Here is a 27508-nt window from a genome sequence, read left to right as displayed (position 1 = left end):
GATCCCATCCAAAGCCCTTCTCAGAGAGCACCCTCTTCCCTCACTCTCCTTTCTCTTTCCCAAGGTTCTGATTGCCTCCATAGCAGGCCAGGCCATGTGACTATGGTTACTGCCTGTCTTCCGTCTCCCCTCAATAGAATGCAGACCCCCTTGGACAGGGACCCAAGTCAATTTCATTGACATAAATCCTCAGTGCAGAGCGGTGCCTGCCACAGAAGGCTTGACTGGGGTTAGCGGGAGAGGAAATGAATGAAAAGGACAGGGTGCTCAGCGGTGCCGGCTTCCTGTGTCCCAGGTTCCTGCCATGGCAAATTCAGAGGCTGATGTATGGGCCTCATGGACCCTGAGACCACCAGCCCCAGCCTGGCCCCAGGCCCCGTGCCAGGCTCCCAGCGGCTGCCCTACCTGGCACCTACTGTGTGGGGGCCAGGCTACCACCCCGGCCTCTCTCTTCCCACCCCTGGGAGCCCAGCACTCAGGGTTCACCACCCTGGGTCCCTAAGCTCTTAGTGTAGCCCAGGCTTCCAGTTGGAGAGAGGCTCACCTCTCAGGCCCAGAATTGTGTTCCTGGTGGCATCTGACACCAGGACTCAGGACCTGCCAGAGGTGAGCCCTGCAGGTCAGAGGGCTGTGGGACACTCCTGGCCCCAGGAGGGACAGAGGAGCACCAGGTGCCCACACAAGTCACCAGAGGCGGTGCCTGCCGACAGCCCGACTACAGACGAGGACACGGAGGCCTGGAGCCGTGCATGGCCTGCCCCACACCCTACAGAAAGGAAGCGCTGGGACAGACACAGAGCAGGGCTGCCCACTCCGGAGCTGGCCTGGTCCACTGCAAAGGGGCCACAGGCCCTCTGCGGGAGAGCCTAGCCTGGGTGTGGCTGCTGAGGAGACAGGCAAGGGGGGCAGGTGAGTCACTTTCCTCTCCTCATCCCAGTGAATCTTAGTGAGCTGAGGGGCCCAGTGTTCCTCCAAATGACTGCTAAGGGGCCTCAAGGAGACAGGCACCTAGCCCTCCCATCTGCAGGGAACCCAGCCCAGTGAGGTCAGAGGGCTCCCGGGCTGGAAGGGACCCAGAGGGTGTCCACACCTTCCCGGAGGTCATCTTGCCCAGCCCTCTCTCCCTGCCAGGGGCCCATCAGGCAGGCCTGAGTGCCCTCCACACCCTTGGCAACTGCCCAGTGAGATTTCAGGGAGGTGGCCTCAGGGGTAGACACTGTATGAATGAAGGAATGTGTGGTAGGAGGTGACAGTGGTGACTCAGGGTGACTCAGCTGGAGCCTGCCAAGGGCCTGCTGAGCAGCTGTCTGCAGCCACAGTGGTCCCCAGCCTGCCCACCCTGCAGCAGGGGCCAGCTTCCCTTTCCCCAGGGCCCATCTCTCCTGCTGGCTTCATGCCCAGACATTTAGAAAATGGTGGGAAAGAGGGTGCATGGCAGGTGCCTTGGCTGAGCCTGGGAATGGAGTGAGGGAAGGCCTGTGAGCGGAAGAGAGAGGCGGGGGTGCTGCCCCTCCTCCTAGGAAAACCTGGACACTCCACCATAGAGGCCCATCTCATCCAGTAAATCCCCATAATCCAGACGGGAAACCAAGGCCAGGAGGGGAGAAGACTGGCCATGGTCAAGGGGCTGATAAGGCTGAACCAAGAAAATGACCCGAGTCTCTTGGTCCTAGACAAACCATTGGTCTTCTAGTTGGTGGAGGACATGGGCATTGTGCCACGCATGCCAAGTTTCCATCTGTGAAGCCGAGCAAGCCCCAGCACAGTCTCTGCTAGAAGCATCTCACATTACCCATATCCCAAGCGAGCCCCATCACAGTCTCTGCTAGAAGCGTCTCACATTGCCCATATCCCGAGCGAGCCCCATCACGGTCTCTGCTAGAAGCGTCTCATGTTGCCCATATCCCAAGCGAGCCTCATCATAGTCTCTGCTAGAAGCATCTCACATTGCCCATATGCCTGAGATGACCCAGGTGCTTATTTCACTTTCTACCAACCCCCTATAACATCTATCCACTATCTATCTGTCCATGCATTCATCCATCTATCCACATCCACACATTCATCCATCGTTGATCAATCCATCCTTCCATCTGTTCATCCCTCCATCCATCCTTCCACCCTTCCATCCATCCTTCCACCCTTCCATCCATCCATCCATCCATCCATCATCCGTGCATTCATTCATCACTTATCCATCCACCCATCCCTTCATCCATCCACCCACTCATCCATCTTCCCTTAGACCATCCACACATTCATTTATCCATTTATCCTTCCACATATCTGTCTGGAATTCATACCCTTCGGTTAGTGGATAATTCATCCATCAATTCCTTATTCATTAAACAAACCCTAGGAAGCCTTGACAGGGTAGCCAGTCCTGTGACTTCCCCCTGACCCTCAGCCTTCCACACCCTACTCCCTCCTCTCCAGCCATCAAGCCGTGCTCATCCCAGCAGGCCCCAGTGACTCAGACACGCATGGTCCATGACTTTCAGGAGCTCATAGTCTCAAGGGACAGACAGGATCTGAACCCAGAAAACTCTAAACCAGGCAGAACTGCCAATGCCTCCACCCCTCTCTGTCTCCAGGATGGTGGAGTCCTTAGTCCCGTTCCTGCTGCTGCTGGTCTTTGTTCCTCACCTGCTGGGGATGGGGAGGACCCGAGCTCCCCATTCTCGCACCAGCTGGCTTGGGGAGAGGGGTCGATTCTGAGGGGAGGAGGACTGGGACGGCAGAGAATGAGCAGTGCCTGCCACTTCCTGCCTGGCCTGAGCTTGCCTCCCAGTGCTTCTAGGAGTGGTCTGTGGACCTTCCCAGTGCCTTGAGATCCCCAGATAAGAGGGAGTTCCAGAGGGGCAGCTCAGCCTCATAAAACCAAAATGGGTTGCGTTCTTCCTGTTGTGTTTTTATCATCATGACACCACAGAGCTTTCACATTTCAAAGTGCCTTGCCCCTGTGATGGTTTCATCCCCGCAGCAGCCATGGCCAGAGGGTCAGGGAGGGTGGCGAGAGACCCCTGGACTGCGATTCGGATGACTCCGGGAGCACCTACTGCATGACCTTGGACAGAACTTGCCTCTTAGGCCTCAGTTTCCTCAACTGCAGAAGGAGAGACAACGCCTCCTCACAGGGGCAGCACCAGGGTGAAATGAGACCCTGGATAGGAGACCCCAACACAGTGCCATGTGCATTGTGCTGCACGAAGCTGTGGTCAGCCGGGCGGGGCCAGCCAAGCACACAAGCCTGCAGGGGTTCCTCACCGTGCTCAGTAAAATGTCCAAGCCACTCAGCCTGGCCGACCCCCTGGCCTGGCCTCCATCCCCGCTCCACACCACCCAGACCCCCCACACACTCCTCTCCAGCTCCGACACACCAGGGTCTCTCCTGCACTCAAGCCTTGCACTTGCTGTCTCTCTGCCTGGAGACCCCTCCCTGCCTCTCCTCCCAGCCAGTCCCTTCCCCTAGCTGGTATCTCATCCTTCAGGCTCTGCTCGGATGCCCCCTCTTCCAGGGAGGCTTCTGTGATGCCCAGATTGGGTGGCCCCCCTCCTCTGCATCTCCCCTGCTAAGGGGGGTTGGCACTGGGCGTCCTTACCATCCGGGACTGCTGTTCTGTCTCCACCATCAGATTGGCAGCATGCGGTGGGGGAGAACATCAGAGTCACTGATGTGCGCAGAGGGCCAGTGGGGCCTGGCACTGAGGGGCCACAGGATCATCTGATGCGTGGAGAATGAATGATGCCAGCATGACCCCGGGCTCCCTGTGGACACCTGGAAGCTACTCGCAGGAGGCGATACGAGGTTGGGTTTAGGAGCCTGTGCCCCAACAGGCATCGTTTTCTTCCCATCCCCTTCTCTTCCCTCCCCCTTGGATCCACCCCACACTGAGAGGTGGGAACCACAGAGGGAGCTGGACCAGTCAGCAGAGGCCATCCTCCCTGGGCCTCCCAGCTCTGTGCTGAAACAAGGATGGGTCAGTGGGGCCAGGGGAAGCGCCAAGGTGCTCAGACCCAACCCTCAGCTCCTATAGAATCCTGAGTTTGAGGCTCTGCGCCAGGCCCCTGTGGGGGTGAGCTGGGAGGCACCGTGGGAGACAGAAGCATAGTGGCGGGAAGGGGGGGTCCTGACAGAGGCCGTGGGGTGGACAAACTCAAGCCTCTTAAACCCCAGGAGCACCCTCACTGGCCCCTGCAAACTTGCAAACACCCTGTGAACTGGCTGTAGGGCTGCGGGCCGGGCAGCCCAGGCAGGACACAGGAAGCGGGCGGGTCGTGTTTTTGTGAATGAAACTGCAGCCCAGCTTCCTCCTGGTCTCCACGCCCTGCTGGCCTCGCTTGACCACTCCGTAACCTCAGGCAAAGCACTGGCAGAAAGGGGGAACTTCAAAACGAAAGTGTGAGTCAGACAGGAGAAGGAAACGGAGAGAGAAATTCTTGTTTCACGGAGGCCTCACATGAGACCTGACCTGGGCTGGAACTGCAGCCTGGCCCCCAGCAGCTCCAGTCCCAGGGATGTCCACCTGCAGCCTCGGCCTGCTCGCCATGCCTGGCCCCCAGCCCCTCCAACACCATCTGGATGGGGAGGGGCCACCCACACCCCATCTGGGGCCCTCGACAAGGACGGCTGCAGAGGGTTCCCCGACAGTCATTTCCCATTGATCCCAGGAATGTTGAGTGAGCACCTACTGTGTGCCCGGCCTTGTGCTGTGAACGAGATAAGTAGGGCCCTGCCTTCATGGAGCTGACAGTCCACACTGGGGGCCGTTAACATGGGGAGCAAGTTGAATAGAGTTTGGGGTTGTTCCTTGTGTTACTATGGAGATAAATAGGTTGCTATGACGGACTGGCAGTATGTACGTGGGAGGAGGTGGCATGCAGCTGGGCTCGGAAGGAGGAGATGGGACCACCACAAAGAGCGGAGTGACGTGCATGCCAGGTGGCAGGGAGGCAGCCGGGGGAAGCAGCTCAGGATGTTCTAGGAACTCCAGAGGTTGTTGCGACGGAAGTACAAGGAATGAGGGGGCCAAGGATGAGAAGGAAGTGGTGCACGTGGGGCATTGGGGGTGGCTTGCAAAGCCCCCATTACCTTCTGAGCCCAGAGCTTGGGCAGGGCTTGTGCCCAGACAGAAAGGAAGCTTGCTGAACACCGGGGTTTCCCGCCTTGCAGATGGTCTGCTTTGGGGAAGTCACAGGTCCGTCTCCCTTGGAACAGGCAGGAAAGCCCCTCCATCCTTGGTGTCTGGGGTAGGGGAGTGAGGCAGGGCTGCTCACTCAGCCGCCTGCCTGGGACCCCTAAGCTTCCTCTTGACCCCTGACTCCTCTCCCAGGCAGGTTCTTCACCTCTCCTCCCTTGCTTGGAATGAATGGATTCTGCTGTCCCTTTAAAGGGACCTGAGTCAGAGAGTTAAGAATGAAACTGACTCATGGTAGAAGGGGTGGTCACCAGCTGGCCAGGCGCCAGGGCTGCGGCGGGAGAGGAAGCCGGGCGGCCGCAGCTGCCTGTGTGTGCTCGGCTGCAAAGGGCAGAAACCACAAAACCCCATTTGAAATTCCGCCGTGCAGCGTGTCTTGTGTAATGAGGTTACCCCTCATAATGGGGGCATTCAGGGCCCACACGGGCCTGGGGGCTGGGGGCCTGCCCCCCGGGGCCAGCTGATGCTGATGTCATCTTCAGTTAGGAGTATCCCCTCCCTTGATTAAGAACTTTAAAAAAAAAAAATGCACCAGGAAACTAGAGTGAGAGCCAGAACGGAAGTCTTGGTTTTATTTATAGTTGATAACTTACATCCGGCCTGCTCCTCAGGAAGCACAGCAGGGAGGAGACAGAGCCCAAAGGAGACGGCGACAAAAATGCCCAAACCCCTGAGCTAATGTGGTGACTGAGAGCAAGCCTAAAGCTCCCTTCTGAGCTCCCCAGCAGCCAAAGCAAAGAGAGAAACAGGGTCCTGCAGCATGATGTCACAGAAAACCAGGGACCCTGGAGCCTGGGTTCCAATAAGAACCTTACATTCTGACGCCTTAGATTTCTCCCTGGAAAATGGGGAGAAAAATACTGAATTGGTTGGGAGGGCCATGCAACACACCCAGCACAGTGTCTGGATGCATTTCAGAGGCCCCACCAGTCTAGGGTCTACAGAAAGACAGTACAGGCGCCTCACTCTCCATGCCTGTACGCATGGCAGACATCACTCATGGATTGCAACACGCTTCCCTGGAGCCAGATGCAGCCTCGTAGCCCCATTGCACAATGTCTCCAGGGGCTACCACCAATGCCCCAGTCGGCTGGAGCTGAACTTGCGTGTCCTCCCAGCCTCTAACCAGCTGAGAAAATGACCAGAAGGAGCTGGGTTATCATGATTTTCCCAGCACCTGGCTCATGCCTGCACCTGGGAGACACTCAATAAAAAATTGTCTAGTTAGGGAAGAGGCAGGGAAGAATGGGAGAAAGGAGAAGGAAGAGGAGAGGGTAGGAGAGTTGGGAGAGGAAACTTGGAACTTAGGCAACTTGTTGAGCTTCTCTAGGCCTCAGTTTCCTCATCTGTTAAGTGGGGGGTTTTAGTAGCTACCTCATGGAGTCATTCTGAGGATTAAATGAGGCTGGGCATATAAACCACTTGGCACACAGGACGTCCTCAACAAGTGAGGATGATGATGAGGAGGAGGAGGAGGAGGTGGTGGAGGAGGAGAGGAGAAGCACCTGACACTGGGGGTGGGTGCATAGTGGGCCCCACCTGGCCAGTCCTCCTAACTCCCATGCGCCACCCCCCCAGGGCCTCAACAGTCACAACAGTCAGCCAGGACCCAGCCACCCGCAGAGGCAGGCCCCAGGTGGAGCAGTGAGGGGTGGGGTGCCGGTGGAGGGTCAGGCATGCTCTTCTTCCCCTTTCATAGTCAGGGCAGCTCGATTCTGCCAGGGTCATGCAGAGTGCCCCGGCACCGGCCAGAAGTCCTCGCCCAGGTGAGCGCAGAGCCACATCCATTCGCGCCCACATAATTTCCATGGAGAGCCCATGCCGCCCATGCACCTCCTCAGGGCACGAGCTAATGGCCTGCTCAACGCCCACTCTAAAGGCTTCTCCCAGGTGAGCAACGCCCACCACCCTTGCAGACTGACTCCCAGAATTCCTGTTCCCAGTGCCACACAGAGTGCCTTGTGGTGCATCTGTGACCCTCCTGGCCCGGGACACGTCCACGTCTTCTGCCTCCTGGCTGAGCCCCGCACCTGTCTGGGCACCCTTGTCTCCCTTGTTTCTCTCCCGGTCACCAGCTCCAGCAGCAAACCACAGAGACACAAATGCTCCTCTCACCGCAACACGCAGGGCCTGGGAGAGACAGAGGCGGCCCCGGGATCTGCCGGCTTTGGAGCCCTCCACGAAGTGTCCAGCCTGCCGGGTGAACATGAGCAACGAGTCCCTGTCCCCAAGGGGGACAGACTACAGACAAGAAAACCGATGAATAAATCAGACATCAGCAGGTGGCATTCACCCACCCAAGAGAAGAGGTTACTGGGGTCAGGGAAGTGTCGGCACCTGGTGGAGGTGGAAGGTCAGGAAGGACACACCACGGAGACAATGACACCAGGAGGGAGACTGTTCCAGGCAGAGGCAACAGCGAGTGCAGAGACCTATCGGGAGAGCTGGGGTGTATGTGACGCAGATTCTGAGGGCCATGAGCCGAGGGAAGGAGCCAGACGCTGTCCTAAGTGCCAGGGGAAGTTGTTAGAGGTGTTAAGCGTGGCATGACGTGGCTGGATTTAGGGTCTGAGATGAACTTTCCTGCTCCTGAATGGACTCTGAGGAGAAGGAAGATACTACCATCCGTAATCCACCCCGGGAAGGCACTGACCTCCTTGACCATGGGGAGGATGAGAGGCCGCCGCTCTGTGCCTGGGTCCCCATGGCCTCTAGGGTCCCTTCACGTTTTCACCTCATGATCCTGGAAGCTGGGACCTGCCCAAATCCACCGGGTGGCCCCAGCCTCCCCATCTCTGGGGCAGGGGGTGGGCAGCCTTCTCCTCCTGGTTTATAGCCACAGATGACTCCAGGCACAGTGGTCCTCAACCGCCTCTAGGGACCATGGGGACGGCTGCCCTCTGTGTGTGACGGTGGCTGGGCAGAAGCCAGCTGGGCTGTCGTGGGTAGGGCCTGGAGGCCTCTGGCTGTATGGTGGTCTAGCTTTGGCACCACCTTGGGGGGCTCCGGGTAGGAGGTGTCCACCAGAGGGGACCTGGGCAGCTCAGCAGAGGCTTGGTCACTCCCGAGCCGTCTGTGGGTCCCACTGGTCTGTACCCTCAACCCCACTGACCTGCACTGGTCATGCCCAGCTCTCACAGGATGATGGCCCCAGCCTTGTAATGAGTCACCTGCTGCCCTCCTGCCCCTCCAGCTGGTCCCCCACCCAGCAGCCACAGGGCTTTCCTTAAAACATAAGAAAGACCCTGCTTCTTACCTGCTCAGATCCCACCAAGAACCGGCCACCTCACTCCAGATAAACTCCAGACTCTTCACTGAGCCCAAAGGCAACGAGCAGAAGTGTCCAGAAATCACACAGAGCTCAGCAGGTGGTGAGGCACCTGGACCCGAGTCACCCAGCAGCTGAACAGGCCATCCCTGAGGCCATGCACGCCCCGGCCCTGCAGGTGTGACGGCCGAGGCTTCCACGACGGGGGGTGAGTGGGAGCTAATATGGCTGGTGAAAGCACTGGGTTCAGTGGGGATGGCATCTCCCGCCCTCTGTCCAAGGTGGGGAAAAAGTCAGCTTCAGGTGAGGGAGACCCTGGACGCCTGGCTTTGGGCTGATTCCCCACTCACTTGGCCTCTCCCAAGCATACTTTCCTGCTTTGTAGGGATGTGGGTTCGCGGGACAGTAACAGGAGAATCAAGGCAAGAACTCAGAGGGGGATAGCCAAGGTAGGCGGAGCTGCCTGGTGGGTGGGACTAACCCAGGTGGGTGGGGCTGCTTGTGAGTGGGGCTAGCCCAGGTGGGTGGGGCTGCCTGGTGGGCAGGGCTTTCTTCCCCGTCAACATTTCCCTCTCTCGGTTAAGGCCAGGGCAGAGCCCACACATGGGTGTGCCCAACCTTAAGGCCTGCCCTGGGTGAGTTAAGACTCCCCAGCTCACCTAGGTCCTACCTGAGGGGAACCTACACGGCCAACCTCCTCAAGGATCCTGAAGCCACCCAGAAGACAGTGGGGCTAGGGTGCCATTCATTCATTCATTTATTCATTCACCTATTCATTTATTTACTCGCTTCACCACCCTTTCCTGGGTAATATTAAGAATAACAGTGGGCCTAGGAATATAGAACATTCTTAGGGGTTTCTTGCAGGCCAGGCACCCTAAGAAAAAGTTATGTAACCCACGTGGCCTCGCTGTGAGGGGGACGACTGCTGTCCTCACTTAATAGATGAGGAGCTGAGCCATGGAGGCCTCACAGCTGGGCAGCTGGGGGTGGACCCCATAGACTGGAGGGGGATGGGCAGGGGCAAGGAGTTCTGCTGGCCCCAGGCCTCTTGTACACATCTTGGGAAGTACTAAAAATGAGTACTTGCTCAAGTCCCTCTCTTCATTGAGCACAGGGAGCTCTTGGCCCTTCCCTCCTCCTCCCTTTACCCTCACCGCCCAATTCCACACGGGTGTACTGAGCACTTGCTAAGGGCCAAGACCAGCACTAGGTGGAGCACACAGTAGGAACCCAAGGCAGCCCTCCCTGCCCAGCTCTCCAGGACACTGTCGTCAATGCCAGCGGGAAGCATAGAGAGGCCAGGGAAAGACGGGCAGTCAGGAGGAAGGAGCCAGCGGAGGGGAGAGAGGGCCGGCAGCTCAGTGCACCTGGACCGTGGTGGATGCTGGACTATGACCAGAGACAGGGCTGCAGCCCAGAGCTAGCCCCAGACCCACAGGGCCTCAGGGGGCTTCACAGGCTTTGTCAGGGGTTTGGACTTTCTCCCGAGGGCTGGGGACCCTGCAAGTTGCAGAAACTGGGCTATATTTGGCATTTTAGAAGCCTCCCCCAGCTGTAGTGGAGGGGAATTGGAGGGAGTGGGAGAGGAGGTTCCCATTCTCACTCAGGTGGGAGATGGTGGTGGGATGGAGGGTGACCCTGATTGATAGGACTCAGGGACAAATTAAAGGTGAGGGCCAGGGAGAGGGTTATCCAGACAGCTCCCAGGAAGATGGCAGTGGGATGGAGGGTGACCCTGATGGGACTCAGGGACAAATTAAAGGTGAGGGCCAGGGAGAGGGTTATCCAGACAGCTCCCAGGAAGATGGTGACACCAGTGAGGTGGGGAGATAGGATGGCATTTGGTTCCCACTGAGCTGGAGATGCCTGTACAAAGCTTCTAAGATACCCAAGGCAGAATCTGCAGCTCCTGCAAAGACAAGAGCTCTGCTCTGCCTCCAGGGAATCAGGGGAGGTCTCCCCAGTGCCCTACTGGGACCTCCAGAGACCCTATGCGAGCCTCCCCCAACCCAACCACCAGCCCATCAGCGCCACCTACCGGCTGCTCAGGGCAGGCACTCAGCAACTTGCTGAGGGCAGATCCTGATGTGTCCCCGTTTTACAGATGAGGAAACTGAGGCCAGGAGACAAGATGACGCCTGTTTGAGGTTACGTAGAGGTGGAGGTGGCATAAGACCTCAGTTCTTCCTGGCAGATCCTCTCCAAAGAGCCCCGTCTGAGAGCAGATGGAAGGAGGTGGTGTCAGGAGATACCTTATCTTACTTTTGTCTGCTGTCAGCATTCCAACAACCCTAGATTATTTTGGCACCCCGCAGTGTCACTCAGTCTCACCATAGCCTCACTCTAATTATCAAAGCTCATCTTTTGGGCTGATATCTGCTTCTGGGACTCCCAGTAGCCCACCTGGGTCCTGCTGGGGAGGACTGTAGAAATCTGACTGCCCCAGGTTGATTTTCTCCCTCTGTCTTCAACATTCAGATTGCCAGCCCACCTGTTAAATCATGATGAGTTGGTGATGGTGATGGTGATGGTGATGATAGTGATGATGGTGATAATGATGGCGTTGATGATGGTGATGATAATGGTGATGATGGTGGTGATGGTGATGGTGATGATGGTAAGGATGATAATGGTGATGATGATGGTGGTGATGATGGTGATGACGGTGATGGTGATGATGGTGGTGATAATGATGGTGATGACGGTGATGGTGATGAAAGTGGTGATGATGGTGGTGATGATGGTGAGGATGATAATGGTGATGATGGTGGTGGTGGTGATAGTGATGATGATGATGGTGAACATGGTGAGGATGATAATGGTGATGATGGTGGTGGTGATGATGGTGATGATGGTGGTTATGATGATGGTGATCATGATGGTGAAGATGATAATGATGATGATGGTGGTGGTAATGATGGTGATGATGGTGGTCTGATGATAATGTTGGTGATGATGGTGATGATGGTGGTGATGATGATGGTGATGGTGATGATGGTGGTGATAATGATGGTGATGGTGATGGTGATGATGGTGATGATGGTAATGATGATGATGGTGATGATGGTAATGGTGATGACGGTAATGATGATGATGCTGGTGATGATGATGATGATGGTGGTGATGATGATAATGGTGAGGATAACTTGTACTGAACATGCACCACATGTCAGTAGTTTTCCCACACTATTTCATTTAATCCTCATGACAACTTTATGGCTAGGACTACTGTTATCCCCATTTTACAGAGGAGGAAACTAAAGTGTACAGTGGCTCAGTCACATAGCAAGTTAGCAGTGGAACCTAGGGGCACCCAGGCAGTTGCACCAAGACCTGCTCCTAACATTACCCTATACTGCTTTTGGCTCAGCCTACAGAGCTGTCTTTGTGACCCCTTCTCTGACACTCCTCCTCTGAGCCAAAGGGCAGCTCCTCCCATCATCCATATCAGTCTGACTGCTCTTTCGCAGTAAGACACAATGAGGAAGCCAAAGACTCTAAAGGGAGGGGCACAGGGATGCCAGTTTCCCTCAGAGCACTGCCAAGGAGGGACCACAGCTCCAATGGCGTGGGCATATGATGTTCCACCTGCCACAACTCCATGCCCAACTCTCCTGCTCTGAGGGATCAGGCTTGGCCCTGACCCTTCTGCCTGTGAGCAACTGGTGAGCAGCCAGCCCAGGTTGCAGCCACCAGCATGTGGGCACTGGTCAGCACAAGGCATGTCTCCTGTCCAGTACTCAGGGCCTCGCTGGCCACAGTTGGACTCTGAAAGATTCCTGATGTGGACTCAGATGTGTTTGAGCCTAAAAACATGCTTTTCATTGGTCCCACCCTACTTCAAACAAAACAGAAGCCTGGGTTGTTCTAAAAAACCATGCACAGCTGCATCATCTATTGCCCAGGCCCCAAGGGTCAGGTTCTACCAAAATTTCTACCTGCATGATCCCATTTAACCTTCCAGCTGCCCTGCCAGTGGCCCTCACTCCATTTTACAGATGAGTAAACTGAGGCCCAGAACAGTCATGCTGCCTCTTCAAGGCCATAAGCCGTTGGAGATCAGAGCCAGGATTCTGAACCAAGGCTATGTGAAGCCAGTGGCCCTCTCCATGCCCCACCCCAGCCCAATATGGTGCGATCTTCTTGGGAAAAGTAAGAACTGATGCTGAATTAATTTTTAAAATTGTGGGAGGCAGAATTCTATGATGGTCCCCAGACCCACACCTCTGGTATACATGCCCTACATAGTCCCTGCCCCTGTGAATATGATGAACACTCTATGATAGGATTGTGTTTGATGGCACTGTTGACTTGTTCATTTTGAGAAAGGGACACTAACCTAATGGGCCTGACCTCATCACATGAGCCTTTTACAAGTAGGGTGTTTTCTCCATCTGGTCCTCAAAGTGGAAGTCGGGAATTGGACGATGAGAACCACTGCTGATTTGGAAAATGAAGGGGACCACATGGCAAGGAATGTGGGCAGCCAAGGGAGCTGAGAGTGGCCCCAGCCAACAGTCAGCAGGAAACAGGGACGTCAATCCTACAGCTGCACCTGCAAGCAACTGCATTCGGCCAACAACCCGGATAAGCGTGGATGCAGACTCCTCCCCAGATCCCCCAGAAGGAGCCCAGTCTGCCTGACACCCTGATTTTCACCACGTGAGACCACGAGCAGAAGACCCACAAAGCAGTGCCTGGATGTCTGACCTGCAGCACTTTGAACTTGCAACTGGGGTTGTGGTAAGCTATTGAGTTGGTGGCGATTTGTTATGCCGATAGATAACTAATACGGGTATGCCTGCAGGTGGTCTCCGGGGGATCTTTGAAGGTCATGGCCAGTGGGGCCTTTCCTCAGGAGGTTCCTGAGGCTTGGGTTCCTCCTGGGATGGGGGCAGGGGAGCCGGTTGCCTCTCCACCCAGACCTGCTTGGGTGCTGCAGAATTAGCAGGTGCCACAGTGAGAGCATGAGCTGTGGAGAGCAAGAGGGAGGCCTTGGTTCAAATCACTGCCTTGCACCACCTCTCTGGGCCTCCCGTTCCCCAACAGTAAAGCAAGATGGATGCCAGCAAGTTGTGAGTGAGAGAGTGAACTAAGTGATTCATTAAAAAGTGCGTAGCTCAGTGCCTGGCACAGAGTACGTGTTTAAGAAGCCCTGGGTGGTGATCAGATGCTGATCTCGACATTGTGTTATGATTATCACACACATGACAGAGGGTGTCCAGGCCAAGCCCTATAGCACTGAAATAGGTACCTGCCTCTCTGCCTTGCTGGCTGGCACCCCAAGTAGGAATTTCTCCCGCAAGGAGCAACACAGAAGGCTGGCTGGAGGCCCCTGCTGCTCCTGGGGCAGAGAGGGACCCTGTCCATTCACACTGGTAGAGCCACCTACCAAGGTCCTCCAGAGCCTTGCAGAGGGGTTGAAGAAGGCATTCCTTCAACAATTGTAAAAGGTGCATTTTAGAAACCAAGAGGGTCTTGCTTCTGTGAGTCGGGACTGAGGGTGAACTGGACACCTGGCCCTGTGCCAGCACTGTCAGAAACAAAAAGGAACCAAATCCCTGTTTCCATGCATTCTGGGAGAGAGACTCAGAGACAATGGCTGGCAGGGGATGGGCACAAAGGTGAAACTCAGTCGTTCTGTGATGGGCCCCAGGAATGGAGCAAAGGAGAGAGATTCTTTGCATACAGGTGGTTTACAACACAGTAAACATCTCAATGCAAAGCATGGGGCTTTCTCAGTGCAAAGCATGGGGCTGTCCGAGACGATGCCGGAGCTCGGAGGAGCTGGGCCAGGGAGGGCGGGGGGCTTTGCTGTCAGTGCTGCAGAGCTAGCAGAAGCTTTCCAGGCTGCGCAGGCAAGAGGAAGCAGCCCAGGCAGAGGCAACAGGTGGATGCAGAGGCCGGAGCAGACACGGCAAGTCAGGGAGCTTCGGCTGCTCAGCATGAGTCATGCCCACCTCCCTGGGTCAGAAGCCCCTGGACCTTGCTTCCGGACAAGATTCGTGTCCCAACTTTGGTCCCTTCCAAGACTTACTCAGACGATGGCTTAACTGAAGTGCACTATAGACAGTGAGCCGGCAGCTACATGGGGCCCAAGGGAGAGGCTGGAGGCTGGGAGCGGCACCATAAAGCTAGAGGGTGTGGTTCACAGGTCTGGGTTTAGCTTTCACAGGTGTCTGAGGCCATCGGGTGACCCGGGCAATGGGTGGGGATAGTGTGGGTTCTTATCTCAGGACATGTCACAAGCTACTCCAGGCCCTTGAGATAAGAAAGTTCAATGGCTTTGTCCAGTTGCTTTCATAATTTTTCCTCAAACACCACTTCAGTTTCAATTTTAGAGCAGCACCTGCTCAGGCCCGGCACACAGGCTATGTATTGGTTGTGCCATGCTGTTCTCGTGGCAGACATAACTAATTGATTGCAGAATCCTCACTTTAATGCTCAGGCAACTGATGGATTCAGGGTGTTTGGGGTCTGAATCACTCTTCTGAATTAGATGAACACCTCACCTTATCATGAAGCCTACGTGAAGCCCACCGGAGTCCAACCCTCCTTTCTGCTCTCTGGCTACTTTTGGCCAAGAGAGTTGGAAAATTGTGGTAACTAGCACAAAGGGAGGATGAGACAGCTGTCATCCTCTCTCTGTCTTTGTCTATCACACACACATAGAAATGGAGGCAGAGCAAGGTTAGGTGCATGATTTATCATCTGAAGCACAGTGACGTACATGGTGCACATGGTGGTAGTTACTACAGTTTTCCAGCTATCTCAGCCAAGAGGGCAGAGAGGAGGGTCAGACCCTGGTGGGCTGACCAGGTGGGTGCCAGTACCTGGCACACAAAAGTCGCTCCACCGATGTCGGAGGAACATCTATGTGACCCAGCCACCTCTTGACCAATCCTCCCCGGTACCATCTCTCAGCCAGTTCACATCGCAGCAACGTTTTTGGCCCCTCTGGTTTTCATCTCTTTTCCCAGGAAGTCGGGGGAGGGTGGTGGCGTGGGGCATTGTTCATTAAACGGTTGAAGAGCTAGGGCCTGGAGAAGTTTTCCTGGGGTCTTTAAATGACTGCTGAGATGGATTTCTAGATAAATGCAGAGTGAGCATTTGGAGGTGGGGGACTAGGCTCTCCCAGGGCTTTCAGCTCCCTCCCCCCACCCTCGCCTCCACTCCTTCCTCTGGGAATTAATTGGTATCAAGAGAGAACTTTCGGAAATGGCCATGTTTAAAAGGCCCCTGCTTAATGTTCCCTTTAATTAGAATGGGTTTCACTTGACACCGTTTTTGCTGACCCACAGGGGAGGGCGGCCCTGCCCGGTGACTGCGCGGCGACCCAGGCATTCCCGCGTCTCGGTTATGCCCTGTTTGTGAGCTCACTCAGCAGAGTTCAAAAGAATGGCTTTTTCTGCAGCAGAACAACTGCCAGGGTCCAGAGAGTCACTCCCCTCAGTTCAGGCACCTCTGTGGGAACCTGGGCCCGGGACATTCCTCTGGAAGGAAGAATGTGCACGCGGGCATCGGGGAGGGGGCCTGCTGAGGGCAGTCTCTCAGCAGGCTCAGCAGGCGGGGCATGAGCCCCAGGAGGGCCAGTCTCGAGAAGGGCCCCGGAGCTGGAGGCGCAAGCAGGGTGGGCACGGGGCTCGCCCCCAGGGCTCCACCAGCCAGGCCAGGAGGTTGTCCCCTGAGAGGGTGATGCTAGCAAAGTGGGCCATGGTGGCAAAGGCCAAGAGCTGGGGAAGCCCAGGGGGGCACCTGATGCCACCCAGGCAGGGCCAGCAAACTCCCCAGGGAAAGGTCTCTCTAGAGCAGGACGTTGAGTGAGCCTGGATGAGCTCGGCTGTGCTCAGGCAACAGACAGGCCCGCAGATCTCAGAACCTTCACGCTGCAAAGGCCCATCCCCACTCTCGTCACGCTGTCACAGAGGCCATCCTTGATGGGTGTCCCCTCAGCATTGGCTCGAGGATCTGGGCCGCCTCCAGCCGTGGGAAGGAATGCAGAGCACTCACATTTGGTTCCAGCCGCCGCAGGCTGGGCGCGATGTACAGGCATCGAGTTCCATGGTCTCGAGGAGACTGGGAAGTGGGGCCTTGAATCCTCTGAACCCCGGAAGAGGCGACGGTGTGGGAAGCACAGAGCTCTGTCACTGGCCCATTTCTGAAGGGCTGGAGAAGCAGAGGGAGCTGCGTGTGCAGAGGCCTGGAAGCGGGAGAGGTTTGGGGAAGCACAGGTGTTCAGGATCCCTGGACTATGAGGGGCGAGGGATGGAGGGATGCAAAGAGGTGAGGTTGGAGAATGGGGTGGGGGGAGCCAAGAAGTTTCTGGAAGGCTATGGCGAGCAGCAATGACTTCATCAGGAGGGCTGTGGGAGCCACTGAGTGTTTTCGGCTGAGAGTGACATGGTCAGATTTGACAGGAATGGGCCTATAGGAACAGCCCTGCAGACCCCCAGCAAGACCCCCTGTGAGCTGGGGAGGCCCCATCCACTGTCCCCTGAAGCTCTGGCTCAGGCTGAGGGGCAGCTGCAGGGTCGTCTCGCTCCCAGAATAAACGTTGTTGCCCCAGGCGTCTGACGGAGCGGTCAGTCAGGAGCACGGAGGACTCCTGCTAGGCCAGACTGAGGCAGGGCCTCAGGGCAGGGACAGGTGGGGGTGAATGTGTGTCCATGATTGCAGAGGCCCACAAAGAGCTCCTCCAGGCTCACTGCAGAGCCTCGTGGGGAAACCAGAAGAGAAAAGATGGCAGCCCTGGCCCCAACCCTGACACAGGCCTTCCGTCATCCCGGTCCAGCGGTGAACACCGCGGCCACTTCCTCAGGTCCAGGGTGGACACGGGCATCTGTGGAGACTGCTGAGGCAGTGACTGGACTCCAGCTGGAGAAACTTTGTTCCCTGCAGCCCAGGGTCATCATTCTTAGCCATTCACTCATTCACTCATTCACCCAACAAGCGTCCATTCAGCACCACCATGGGAGCCACCGCTGACCCCAAAGGACACAGTCCCTGCCCTCGTGGAGCTTATTCTAGTGGGAGAGGCAGACTCTGAACAGGTGGGGAAGCAAATCAACAATGACAAAGTGTGTCAGTGAGGGGAACGGCCAGCGAGGGGCAGGAACAGAGCCCCTCATCTGCCCGGGAAAAGCAGTGCAGAGGCTCTCTGGGGAAACCCTGAGATTGAGAAGGAGCCCACAGTGTGGGATGGAGGCAAAGCCACTCCCAGCAGGACGAACAGCACATACAAAGGCCCTGGGGCCAGCAGGACCTGAGTCATTGGAGGCACTAGGAGGGATGCAGCGAGGCTGGTGCATGACAGCCAGGGCAGGTGTGTCCAGAGAGGCCCCGTGGCGGCTCGATTTCAAGACTTCAAAAGGCATCGTGTACAGAATGGGCGACAACAGGTGAGGATGGAGGCAGGGAAACACCCAGGCCTCCAGGGCAATCTCACTAGGCTCAGCATGAGCCGTGCCCACCTCCTTGAGGAAGAAGCCCCTGAGCCTTGCGCCAGACAGGATTCGTGTCCCAGCACTCGTCCCTCCCAAGACTCACTCAGGTGGTGGCCTAACTAAAATGCCATCATCTGAGTAAGTCAGGTGGAAGGATTTGAGAGACCCCTCAGAGGGAAGATCCACCCCTGGTCTTGGGTGATGAACTGGGTCCATGTGTGTGGGTGCAGGAGAGGAGGGTGGGGAGGTCCTGGACTGAGCACCTGGGTAGACAATGGCCATTTGCTGAGGGGGGAAGCAAAGACAGGAATGAGGGGCAGTGAAGCTGAAACCAAGAGCCCAAGGGGGGAATGCCAGGTGCGTGGTGCCCACGAGCCACCCACGTGAGGATGCAGGTAGAGGTCAGCTGTCCGGAGCTCAGGGGACTGGGCTTACTGGAGATTTGGAAGGAACCCTTTCAAGAAGCTCCCCACCATGGAAAGACAAATTCTCCATCTCTATATGTATTAGAGGAATAAAGCCACAAAAGCTCAAGGGGTACTTAGCTCCATGGAAAGGGTGGAAACCATCATTATCCCAATTTTCCAGATGGGGAAACTGAGGCACAGAGAAGCTCAGCAAGGTCCCCAAGGCCACCTAAGTAGCCAGTGGCAGACGTGAGATTTTAATCCAGGCCCTCTGCCCCTGCAGCCCATGTTGTCACATCAGATGACTTGTCTGGGGTCACGCAGTCTTGGCTGAGCACAAAGCTGGCTCTCCTGACTCCAACTGCAGTGCTCTTTCCTCGCCCTTGCCTCAGCAGATAGTTGGAATTCCAGAGCCTGTAGCCACCAGAGAAGTTATCAGCGCATAGCTGAAATTACACCTTGCGAATTTGGATCTAAATCTTCCCCGGCTGTGGTTTTCACCCAGCATTCCTGGGCATAAGACGTCTCAGCTTGGCCCCAGGGGCTTATCGATGGAATTACCAGGTACCAGGAATGTGGGACCCAGGATCCTTATCCCAGAGGATGAGTGGTAAAGTATCCTGTGCCGCCATGTTGAAACTAAGGCAACCACCACCACCCCAGTCTCCTGCGGAGTGGCAGACCAGGGTCAGGCTTGGGTCACACAAACAGGTGTCATTGCTTTGGGACAAGCCAGGGAGCCAGGGGACGAGCCAGGGAGCTTCTGCATCCCCCATGCATCCCACTGTTTCTGAGCACGGTCACCAGGCTTGAAGCCTATGGCAGCCCCATGAATGGGTCTCCATCCCGATGTTATAGACTAGGAAGCGGAGACTGGAGGAGAACAAGCCACCTGCCTGGGCCCCCCACCCAAGGAATGGCAGAACCAGAACACAAACCCCAGGGGCTGGACTTGCATCATTTCTTCCACAACTACATCTTGCATCAGGCTTACTCAGAGCCGGGTTCCAAGACAGGGGCTGGAAACAGACAAACACGAGTTCATACCTGCCCTCAAACATCTCACAGTGGGAGGGAAGGGAACACTGGGGGACACACCATTCACTACGGACGTGGTTGTGCCTTCGAAAGGAAGGAGAGTCCAACACACGCTATGACGTTGAGCTGAGAGGAATAAGCCAGTCCCGGCAGGACAGGTACTGCAGGATCCCGCTAACAGGAGGTCCCTGGAGTGGTCAGATTCATGGAGACAGAAGGCAGAATGGGAGGTGCCAGGGGCTAAGGAAGGAGGAAGAAGGAGTTAACGTTTAACGGGTAGAGTTCTAGTTTGGAAGATGAGAAAGTTCTAGAGATGAATGGTAATGATGATTGTACAAGCATCCTGATGGGTGAATGTACTTTAATGCCACAGAACCATACACTAATAAATGATTAAAATGGTGAATATTATATTATGCGTATTTTACCATGATTAATTTCTTTTTTTTTTGAGATGGAGCCTCACTCTGTCACCCAGGTTGGAGTGCAGTGGCAGGATCTCAGCTTACTGCAGCCTCTGCCTCCCAGGTTCAAGTGATTCTCCTGCCTCAGCCTCCCAAGTAGCTGGGATTACAGTGCATGTCACCACGCCCAGGCAATTTGCGTATTTTTAGTAGAGACAGGATTTCACCATGTTGGCCAGGCTGGTCTCGAACTCCTGACCTCAAGTGATCAGCCCACCTTGGCCTCCCAAAGAGCTGGGATTACAGGTGTGAGCCACCACACCCAGCAAAATTGTTAATTGAAAAAAAAAAAAGAAACTGTTCACTTCATTCACTGGTTCTACAGCAGTGACCTAAAGCCCACTGTGCTCCCTTAAGCACTGTGCTGAGCCCTGGGCTGGGTGAGTGCATGAGGTTGTGTGTGTGATTGTGTGAGTGTGTGTGTGGGCATGCATGTGCGAGAGAGTGTGCACATCAGGGCATGAGAGGCATGTAAAAAAGTGTCCTGCTGGTGGGGTGTGGACGCCCAGGCAGGAAAGCCCGGGCCCACACAGGCAAACGTGGCTGCAACAGAAATAATTGCAGCATAATCATGTGGCCTTCAGGAAGCCAGGCTCAGTGCAGGGCACCTGATGCACACACCATTTAGTTCTCAGCACAGCTCTCTCAGGGAGCTATTATTAATACTATCCTGTCCAACAGAGAAGGAAACTGAGGCTCCCAGGGGGTCACCTGATCCAGGCTACTCAACTACTAAGACAAAGAGCAGGATTCCCACCTCATACATTGGTGATCTGTTGCTCATCCCAAATGACCCCAAACTCAGCAGCTGAAAGCCATACACATTAATTACCTCTTGCAGTTCCTGTGGGCCAGGGATCTGGGAGTGGCTTAGCCGGGTGATTCCGGCTCAGGGTCTCTCAGGAGGTCACAGTCTCAACTCTCAGTTGGCCAGGGCTGCAGTTTTATCTGATGGCTCAACTGGGGCTAAGGGATCCACTTCCAAGATGGCACACTCATACAGCTGTGGGTGGGAGACCTCAGTTCCTAGCTACGTGGACTTTTCTAGTGGGCTGCTTGAGGGTCCTCACAACATGATGGACATCATAATTGAAAAAAGAAAGACAGAAGCCACAGGCCTTTTATGATATGGCCTAGAGAGTCAAACTCCATCCTTTCCACAATATCCTGTCGGTTACAAGCTCAGTCTTATTCAGGATGGGAGGAAGCTACACAAGGATGTGAATAGCAAGAGGTGAGGATCAGTAGATGCCATTTTGAGTCAGCTACCACACCTAGTGTCATCCAAATCTCCTGCCAGGAGTCTGTCTTCTGCTACAAGACCAGAGGTCACTCACACAGAGTTGTTGGCATCAAAAGCCTCCAGAGACTGGGATTTGGTTGCTCTGGAAGAGAGGGGCAGGCCAGGCGGGAGTTCTGTACTGAAAGGAGACAGAAGTGGTACCCGGTCTGAGCCTGGGTCTCAACTGAGAAGCTCACATTAAGCCATAATCACATTTTGGAAACATTATGGGTGTGCGGGCATGGGAGGCATCCTTCTCAGACACATGCCAGCTCAGAAACACACCAGGGACCTGGGGGTGGGTGACCAGGTGAATGGCAGCACTTCTGATTGTGGCAGCAAGAGCTGGATGTTGGTGTCAGATAGACTTGAAATGTGTCCACTGGGTGTGACATTGAGTAAGTTTCCCACATCCACTCTGACCCTCAGTCTCCTCCTCTGAAATGGGATATTGTTTCTCCCACACAAGAGAGGGAATAAAGCCACACGTATCAAGGAGCCTGGAACACACCAGAGCCTTGGGTTCAGGCTCTGAACCCAAGCAAGAAGCAGAAACAGCCATGGCTCAGACCAGGCTATGCTCTGCCACATCGTGACTATGGCAAGCAGTTGGCATGGTCAGACACACTGCACCAGTGAAACATGACTGTCCTTGTCCCAGTTCAGCCAGAAGGACTCTTTCACTCCCACAGACACAGATTAGTCAGACTGACTAGTCGCTCCCTCCTGGGTGTGCCTGGGTGAAAGGGCCAACACCGCTTGTGGTTACTGGAATGCCCCATTAATGAGAAATGATCCGAACAAATATTTCACACCTCTTTTTTCACATTCCAATGGGAAAATAACATGGAGCACGGCGTGTTCCCCTCAAGGATAGCTGACAAAGGAAAAGGCCCTTCCTTTATCTCCACTGGGAGTTTTGTTTTCCTTTTATCTAAAAGGGGTTATCAGTGCTGCTCAAATAAAGAAGAAATGTGTGATTGAAAATGGGTGGAGGATATGCTATTTAGAAAAAAGAAAGCCTGAACAAATGAAAAATTGTATAAAGAGATTGTTTTTCATCAATTTGGCATTCCTTAATTACAGGCTAAATAAACCTCTCACCCTCAGTACAATCAGACATAATTAATGCAGTCTCTGTAACTGATCATTAATTATATCAGTAACACATATTATTTATTGCATGCATTTCATTGTTACAGTGACTCAGCGAAGAGGTGCTGGTAATACAGTTCACACTCTAGGAGGCATAGAAAAGCCAGTTAACTCATCCAAGCTCATGCAGCTAATAAACCGCAGACCCATGATTCAAGTCTGGCAGAGGTCTGACTCCAAAGCTCATGCTTCCCCACCCAAACACCATTCTATCTCCAAGGAAAGGAAGAACAGGTGTCTCTGGCTGAACAGTTGCAAAGCCAAGACTGAAAGGATTTATTTTTAAACAGCTTGACTTTTGTCACTTCACCCAAAATCAATACCAGCCTTGCTTTGTGTCCCTTCTGCAACTTGAGGTCTGACACTAGGAATTGGGGGTAGTGATGGATGCGCAGTACATCAGTGGGTGGGTAGAGGGGCAAAAAAATGGGCTCCTGAAGATTAAGTGGATGGACAGACAAGAAATAGATGATGCTGGGCAGGTGAACAGATAGACTGGCGGTGAGATGAAGGATGGATGCTGCATGCATGGGTGCCTGGCGGGTAAGGTGATGGTAGATGAATGAGTGTGGATGGATTGATATGGATGCTGCATGCATGGGTGTTGGGCAGGTAAAGTGATGAACGGACGGGTGAGTGTGGATGGATTGATGGTGGATACTGCATGCATGGGTGGCTGGTGGGTAAGGTGATGGTAGATGAGTAAGTGTGGATGGGTTGATGGTGGATGCTGCATGCATGGATGGCTGGTGGATAACATGGTGGCATGAATGAGTGACTCTGAAGGAACTGATGGTGGATGCTGCATGCATGGGTGACTGGTGGGTAATGTGATGGTAGATGAATGAGTGTGGATGGATTGATGGTGGATGCTGTGTGCATGGATGGCTGGTGGATAACATGGTGGCATGAATGAGTGACTCTGAAGGAACTGATGGTGGATGCTGCATGCATGGGTGACTGGTGGGTAATGTGATGGTAGATGAATGAGTGTGGATGGATTGATGGTGGATGCTGTGTGCATGGATGGCTGGTGGATAACATGGTGGCATGAATGAGTGACTCTGAAGGGACCCATGGTGGATGCTGCATGCATGGGTGGCTGGTGGGTAAGGTGATGCATGGATGGGTGAGTGTGGATGGATTGATGGTGGATGTTGCATGCATGGATGGCTAGTGGATAACATGATGGCATGGATGGGTGAGTGTGGATGGATTGATGGTGGATGCTGCATGCATGGGTGGCTGGTGAGTAAGGTGATGGATGGGTGGGTGAATGTGGATAGATTAAAGGTGGATGCTGCATGCATGGGTGGCTGGTGTGTAAGTGATGGATGGATGGGTGTGTGTTGATGGATTAATGGTGGATATTGCATGCATGGGTGGCTGGTGGGTAAGGGGATGGATGGATAAGTGAGTGTGAATAGATTGATGGTGGATGTTGCATGCATGGATGGCTGGTGGGTAACATGATGGCATGGATAGGTGAATGTGGATGGATTAATGGTGGATGCTGCATGCATGGGTGGCTGATGGGTAACACGATGGCATGGATGGGTGCGTATGGATGGATTGATGGTGGATGCTGTGTGCATGGGTGGCTGGTGGGTAAGGTGATGTATGGATAAGTGTAGATAGATTGATGGTGGATGTTGCATGCATGGGTAGCTGGTGGGTAAGTTGATGGATGGATGGGTGTGTGTGGATGGATTGATGGTGGATGCTGTGTGCATGTGTGGCTGGTGGGTAAGGTGATGGATGGATAAGTGAGTATAGATAGATTGATGGTAGATGTTGGCTAGAAGGACAGATCAATGGATTGTTAGGGGTCAAGGTGGGCAGTAGAATAAATGAGTGGGTAGGGCCAGTCCATCCTCAGGACACAAGAATCAAGCCCCTGACTGTGGGCCTGACTCCCCATTCCTCTGCAATTATCCCATGGGGTCTGGGAGATTGGCGAGGGCAGGACTTGGTCAGATACGTACCTGAGAGGACAGGCGATTCCTGAGCACTTGCTGCCTGGAAGTCTAGAATCTGAGAGGTGGCAGGGCTATAGAGACCACACTAGTTTTTTGGCAGGACCCCAGAGTGGGAGAGCCTGGCCGGCAAGCACAGGTAACACCAGGGCCCTCCACTCTGACCCTCACTTGGGCTCTGGTGGCTGAAGCCTGCCCCACACTCCAGCCTGAGCTGAACTACCCCTAGACCTGGCTGACTTAACCTCTCCAAGCCTTAGATTTCTAAATGAAGATCATAATATTAATTTAGGAAGATCATTTTAAGGATTCAGTAACATGATGTTTGCAAAATGCATGGCACAGAGTAGGTGCCCCGCAGGTGTGTCCCCAGGGCCTGGGACTCCAGACTCACCTGTGGGTGCCTGAGGCCTCACCCTCCCCCACAGCCCCGGCCTCCGGGAGGTAACTGCAAAAGCTCCAGGCGAGAGGCCCTGGGACCGTGGGAACTTCCTACAGCATGTTTGTCTTGGGCTGCCTGGGAGGGGCTGCCACCTCCGTCAGCTCCAGCAGGAGCTCCTGCCAGGTCACCCAGTGTGAAAAGAAGGAATTGTTCCCGGGACCTTTGCTTCCCTTGTCAAAGGTGACTTGAGCCTGAGATACAAGCACAGCCCCTCTTCCCTAAAGGCCAGGCCAGTCCCAGTTCCGTCCACACTCCCAAAGGGGTTGAAGGAGTCGTCTGTGCTGGGGGAACCCACAATGTCTTCCCTGCCAGCAGGTGTGAGGCTTTGCAGCCGTGAGTCCCCACCCATGAGCCAGCAGCTGGCTAGGGCTCCTCCAGGGTCCCACTAATTCCCACCACTTACCCGGTTCTCATTCCCCTTTGTGCCCCACAATACCCAGCACGGAACCCAACCCAGGGTCAGGGGCTCAGACACTTGGCTGAATCGAACTCCCCAGCCCAGGTGAGACCCCCACCCACCCATCCAGAACAGGGCACCTTCCCCTCCTCCCACCTGTCCTCTACCCTGCCCCCGGAGGGTGTCCCCTGTGCTGGTCTCTGGAGGTGGGCCGCAAGTCTCTATGCAGTTGGACACTTTCCTCACCAAGTTCTTGTCACTCTGCCTCAGCCTCCTCCACCCCAGTCACATGACTGAGGGTCAAGGTCTGCCCTCTCCCAGCCCACTGCCTACTGCCCACCTGCCCTGCATCAACCGGCTGGCAGCCCCAGGGTGTAACCTTCTGGCAACTGTGGAGCCTTCTGGAGACCAGCCATGTGGTGCTCGCTGCAGGCAGCACAGCTGGGGTTAAGGGCAGCCTCGGATCACAGAGGTTCCATTTCCGATTTTCCAGAAGTTGCCGATTATTAATGATCATTGTTCTTTCCTTCTGGGGCATAACAAAGCAGATTCAACTGACAACGGAACAGCAGCAGGTCAAGATTCCCACAGTATGAAATGTCAGCCTCTGGCGGCAATGACATTCACCCAGGGGCACTAAAAATAGACGTAAAAACAGAAGCATGCAGCCTCCGGAGGCTGGAGAGGCCAGGTGAGCTCAGGACTGAAATGACACTTGCAGTGACATCTATGGCCCATGGCAAAGCTGGGCTTTTCCTACTTCCTTTTTTTAAAAATTTTTTTCTTGAGAGAAAAAAAGAAAGTGAACTTGAGAAGGGTCAGCCCAGAAGGACTTTGCTTTTTTAAGTCTGATTTTACGTGCAAAATTCAGGTAGAAAGAAAAACTGCCATGAGATATGAGCATGGGGGGCATCAAGTTGGGCTAAATTCACCACTGCTTAGCCCAGAGAGGCGCAGAGGCTGCTTATTATGCTTCCCAGCTCCTCACTGACCCAGAATTGGCTATGGGACCTGGCTGAGGTCAGCACAGACCAACAGAACTCTTCTGACAATAGAAATGCTCTGTACCTGCTCCGTCCCATCTGGTACCCAATAGCTATAGTAGCACTTGAAATGTGGCTGTAGGCTGGGCACGGTAGCTCACATCTGTGGCCCCAGCTACTCAGGGGGCTGAGGTGGGAGGATAGCTTCAGACCAGGGGTTCAAGACCAGCCTGAGCAACATAGTGAGACCCCAACTCTACAAAAAATAAACAATTATCTGTTCTTGGTGATGCCCACCTCTAGTCTGGGCTACTTGAGAGGCAGAAGCTGGAGGGTCGCCTGAGCCCAGAAGTTCAGTGTTACAATGAGCTATAATGATTGCACCACTGCAATCCAGCCTGGGTGACAGGGTGAGACCCTATCTCTAAATTTAAAAAAGAAAGACCGAAACGATGTGACTCTGGCAATTGAGCAACTGAATTGTTAATTTTATTTAATTTTAATTGATTTAGATTTAAAGAGCCATATTTAAATGATGGCTAGTGTCTACTGTACTAGACCACACAGTTTTAGGCTCTGGGGAAAGAGAGCTGCAATTGATTAGCAATGTCTGCCAGGGACGCAGGCTGGGAAGATAAGGCACAAATGCCATATTACAGAAGGACCAGAGATCCAGTGTGATCTGGGTCACCTGAGACCTAAATCAGTGATTCTGGTGCCTGCACAGTTTCAGCATTCAGGAGGAAAAGTGTCTGTGAAGTTTAGTGTCACCCCCTACTCTTCAGTCTCATGGTCTAGTCAGGCAACTGCAAGTCTCTTTACTAGTTTTCTTCCACAGCAGACAGAGGGGTCCTTCCAAAATACCAATGCAGCCATTATCTACCTTGCTTGAAAGCCTGAATCTAATCCTCCAACCATGGCCACCAAGACCTATCCTGAGGCTGTGCCCCTCTGTGGCCTAGGCCCCTCAGTCTTCTCCACCTCCATCCAACACAGACCCCACCAGTCCTGGCTGGTTCTTCCTCTGCTCCACTGCACAGGAAGCTCCAAAGCAAGGGCTTCCTCTTGCACCATCTTAGCACCTCCACCGAAAGCACAGGACCTGAAGAGTCCCCACGGGAGGCTCACATGATTCCAGGAACTCCCAAGTCTACATTATTTTTATGTCCTTCCAATAATAAGACAAGAATCCTTATCGCCCTGTTTTGCAGATGAGGATACTGAGGTTCAAAGAGGGAAAGAGTTTGGCCAAGAACAAAAGAGAAAATGGCATATCTGAGACTCAGACCTGGGTAGATGTCCCTCCCAAACTTGGCCTCAGCACAAGGGTTGCACTGAGAATGGAAATCAGGTCATAGGACACCCAGTCCACTATTTCTTTTACTATTAACTCAACAAATGTTATGTGATGGAAGGGAGGAAGGGGTGGGTGGGTATGTGTATGGATGGGTA

At 54.3% G+C, this 27508-nt stretch overlaps 1 protein-coding gene across 7 annotated transcripts, besides 9 other annotated features; it reads right to left on the bottom strand.

Annotated features, from left to right (window-relative positions):
• Positions 3320–3508: a silencer, noted in NCBI's record as "fragment chr11:69066990-69067178 (GRCh37/hg19 assembly coordinates)". NCBI's record gives its function as "represses an EF-1alpha promoter that drives an FKBP-Casp9 reporter gene in an ReSE screen in phorbol 12-myristate 13-acetate-treated (for megakaryocytic differentiation) K562 erythroleukemia cells {active_cell/tissue: K562(+PMA)}" and the evidence as "EXISTENCE:reporter gene assay evidence [ECO:0000049][PMID:32094911]".
• Positions 4289–4548: an enhancer, noted in NCBI's record as "active region_5156". NCBI's record gives its function as "activates an Ori minimal core promoter by ATAC-STARR-seq in GM12878 lymphoblastoid cells {active_cell/tissue: GM12878}" and the evidence as "EXISTENCE:reporter gene assay evidence [ECO:0000049][PMID:35858748]".
• Positions 4289–6026: a biological region, named in NCBI's record as "P300/CBP strongly-dependent group 1 enhancer GRCh37_chr11:69064594-69065793".
• Positions 4302–5163: an enhancer, noted in NCBI's record as "H3K27ac-H3K4me1 hESC enhancer chr11:69065335-69066196 (GRCh37/hg19 assembly coordinates)". NCBI's record gives its function as "activates a minimal SCP1, AML or CMV promoter by ChIP-STARR-seq in primed H9 embryonic stem cells {active_cell/tissue: H9 hESC(primed)}" and the evidence as "EXISTENCE:reporter gene assay evidence [ECO:0000049][PMID:30033119]".
• Positions 4705–5904: an enhancer, noted in NCBI's record as "P300/CBP strongly-dependent group 1 enhancer chr11:69064594-69065793 (GRCh37/hg19 assembly coordinates)". NCBI's record gives its function as "activates an origin of replication core promoter dependent on BRD2, BRD4, P300/CBP, MED14 and CDK7 cofactors, with strong dependence on P300/CBP, by STARR-seq in HCT116 cells {active_cell/tissue: HCT116}" and the evidence as "EXISTENCE:reporter gene assay evidence [ECO:0000049][PMID:35650434]".
• Positions 5129–5198: an enhancer, noted in NCBI's record as "active region_5155". NCBI's record gives its function as "activates an Ori minimal core promoter by ATAC-STARR-seq in GM12878 lymphoblastoid cells {active_cell/tissue: GM12878}" and the evidence as "EXISTENCE:reporter gene assay evidence [ECO:0000049][PMID:35858748]".
• Positions 5164–6026: an enhancer, noted in NCBI's record as "H3K27ac-H3K4me1 hESC enhancer chr11:69064472-69065334 (GRCh37/hg19 assembly coordinates)". NCBI's record gives its function as "activates a minimal SCP1, AML or CMV promoter by ChIP-STARR-seq in primed H9 embryonic stem cells {active_cell/tissue: H9 hESC(primed)}" and the evidence as "EXISTENCE:reporter gene assay evidence [ECO:0000049][PMID:30033119]".
• On the bottom strand, positions 5744–8876 carry MYEOV (myeloma overexpressed). Of its 7 annotated transcripts, none has more exons than NM_001293291.2 (3): positions 8455–8876; positions 7536–7798; positions 5744–7439 (listed from the first exon to the last, which is right to left on the bottom strand). In NM_001293291.2, the coding sequence occupies exons 2-3, from the start codon at positions 7674–7676 to the stop codon at positions 6639–6641; spliced, it is 942 nt and encodes a 313-aa protein (NP_001280220.1). In that variant the 5' UTR covers positions 7677–7798; positions 8455–8876; the 3' UTR covers positions 5744–6638. The 7 variants fall into 7 exon arrangements, with proteins under 7 accessions (NP_001280220.1, NP_620123.2, NP_001287852.1 ...); NM_138768.4 differs by having other exon boundaries at positions 7536–7704; NM_001300923.2 differs by having other exon boundaries at positions 7536–7630.
• Positions 9754–10305: an enhancer, noted in NCBI's record as "H3K4me1 hESC enhancer chr11:69060193-69060744 (GRCh37/hg19 assembly coordinates)". NCBI's record gives its function as "activates a minimal SCP1, AML or CMV promoter by ChIP-STARR-seq in naive H9 embryonic stem cells {active_cell/tissue: H9 hESC(naive)}" and the evidence as "EXISTENCE:reporter gene assay evidence [ECO:0000049][PMID:30033119]".
• Positions 14120–16301: an enhancer, noted in NCBI's record as "VISTA enhancer hs2073". NCBI's record gives its function as "enhancer in: other[5/5]" and the evidence as "EXISTENCE:transgenic organism evidence [ECO:0001131][PMID:17130149]".

The sequence above is a fragment of the Homo sapiens genome, chromosome 11 (assembly GCF_000001405.40).
Source record: "Homo sapiens chromosome 11, GRCh38.p14 Primary Assembly".
Classification (NCBI taxonomy): Eukaryota; Metazoa; Chordata; class Mammalia; order Primates; family Hominidae; genus Homo; species Homo sapiens.
This window is presented reverse-complemented; position numbering and strand designations above follow the sequence as displayed.

Excerpts from the sequence above, each read along its gene's own strand:
- MYEOV (XM_047426763.1), bottom strand. The coding sequence starts at position 7,676 with ATGGCCCTCAGAATCTGCGTCACATACACCCCAGCTCTCCCGATAGGT. Across the intron at positions 7,440-7,535 it reads TGACCTTCCACCTCCACCAG|TCTGTCCCCCTTGGGGACAG; the intron begins GTGCCGACACTT and ends TCTTGTCTGTAG.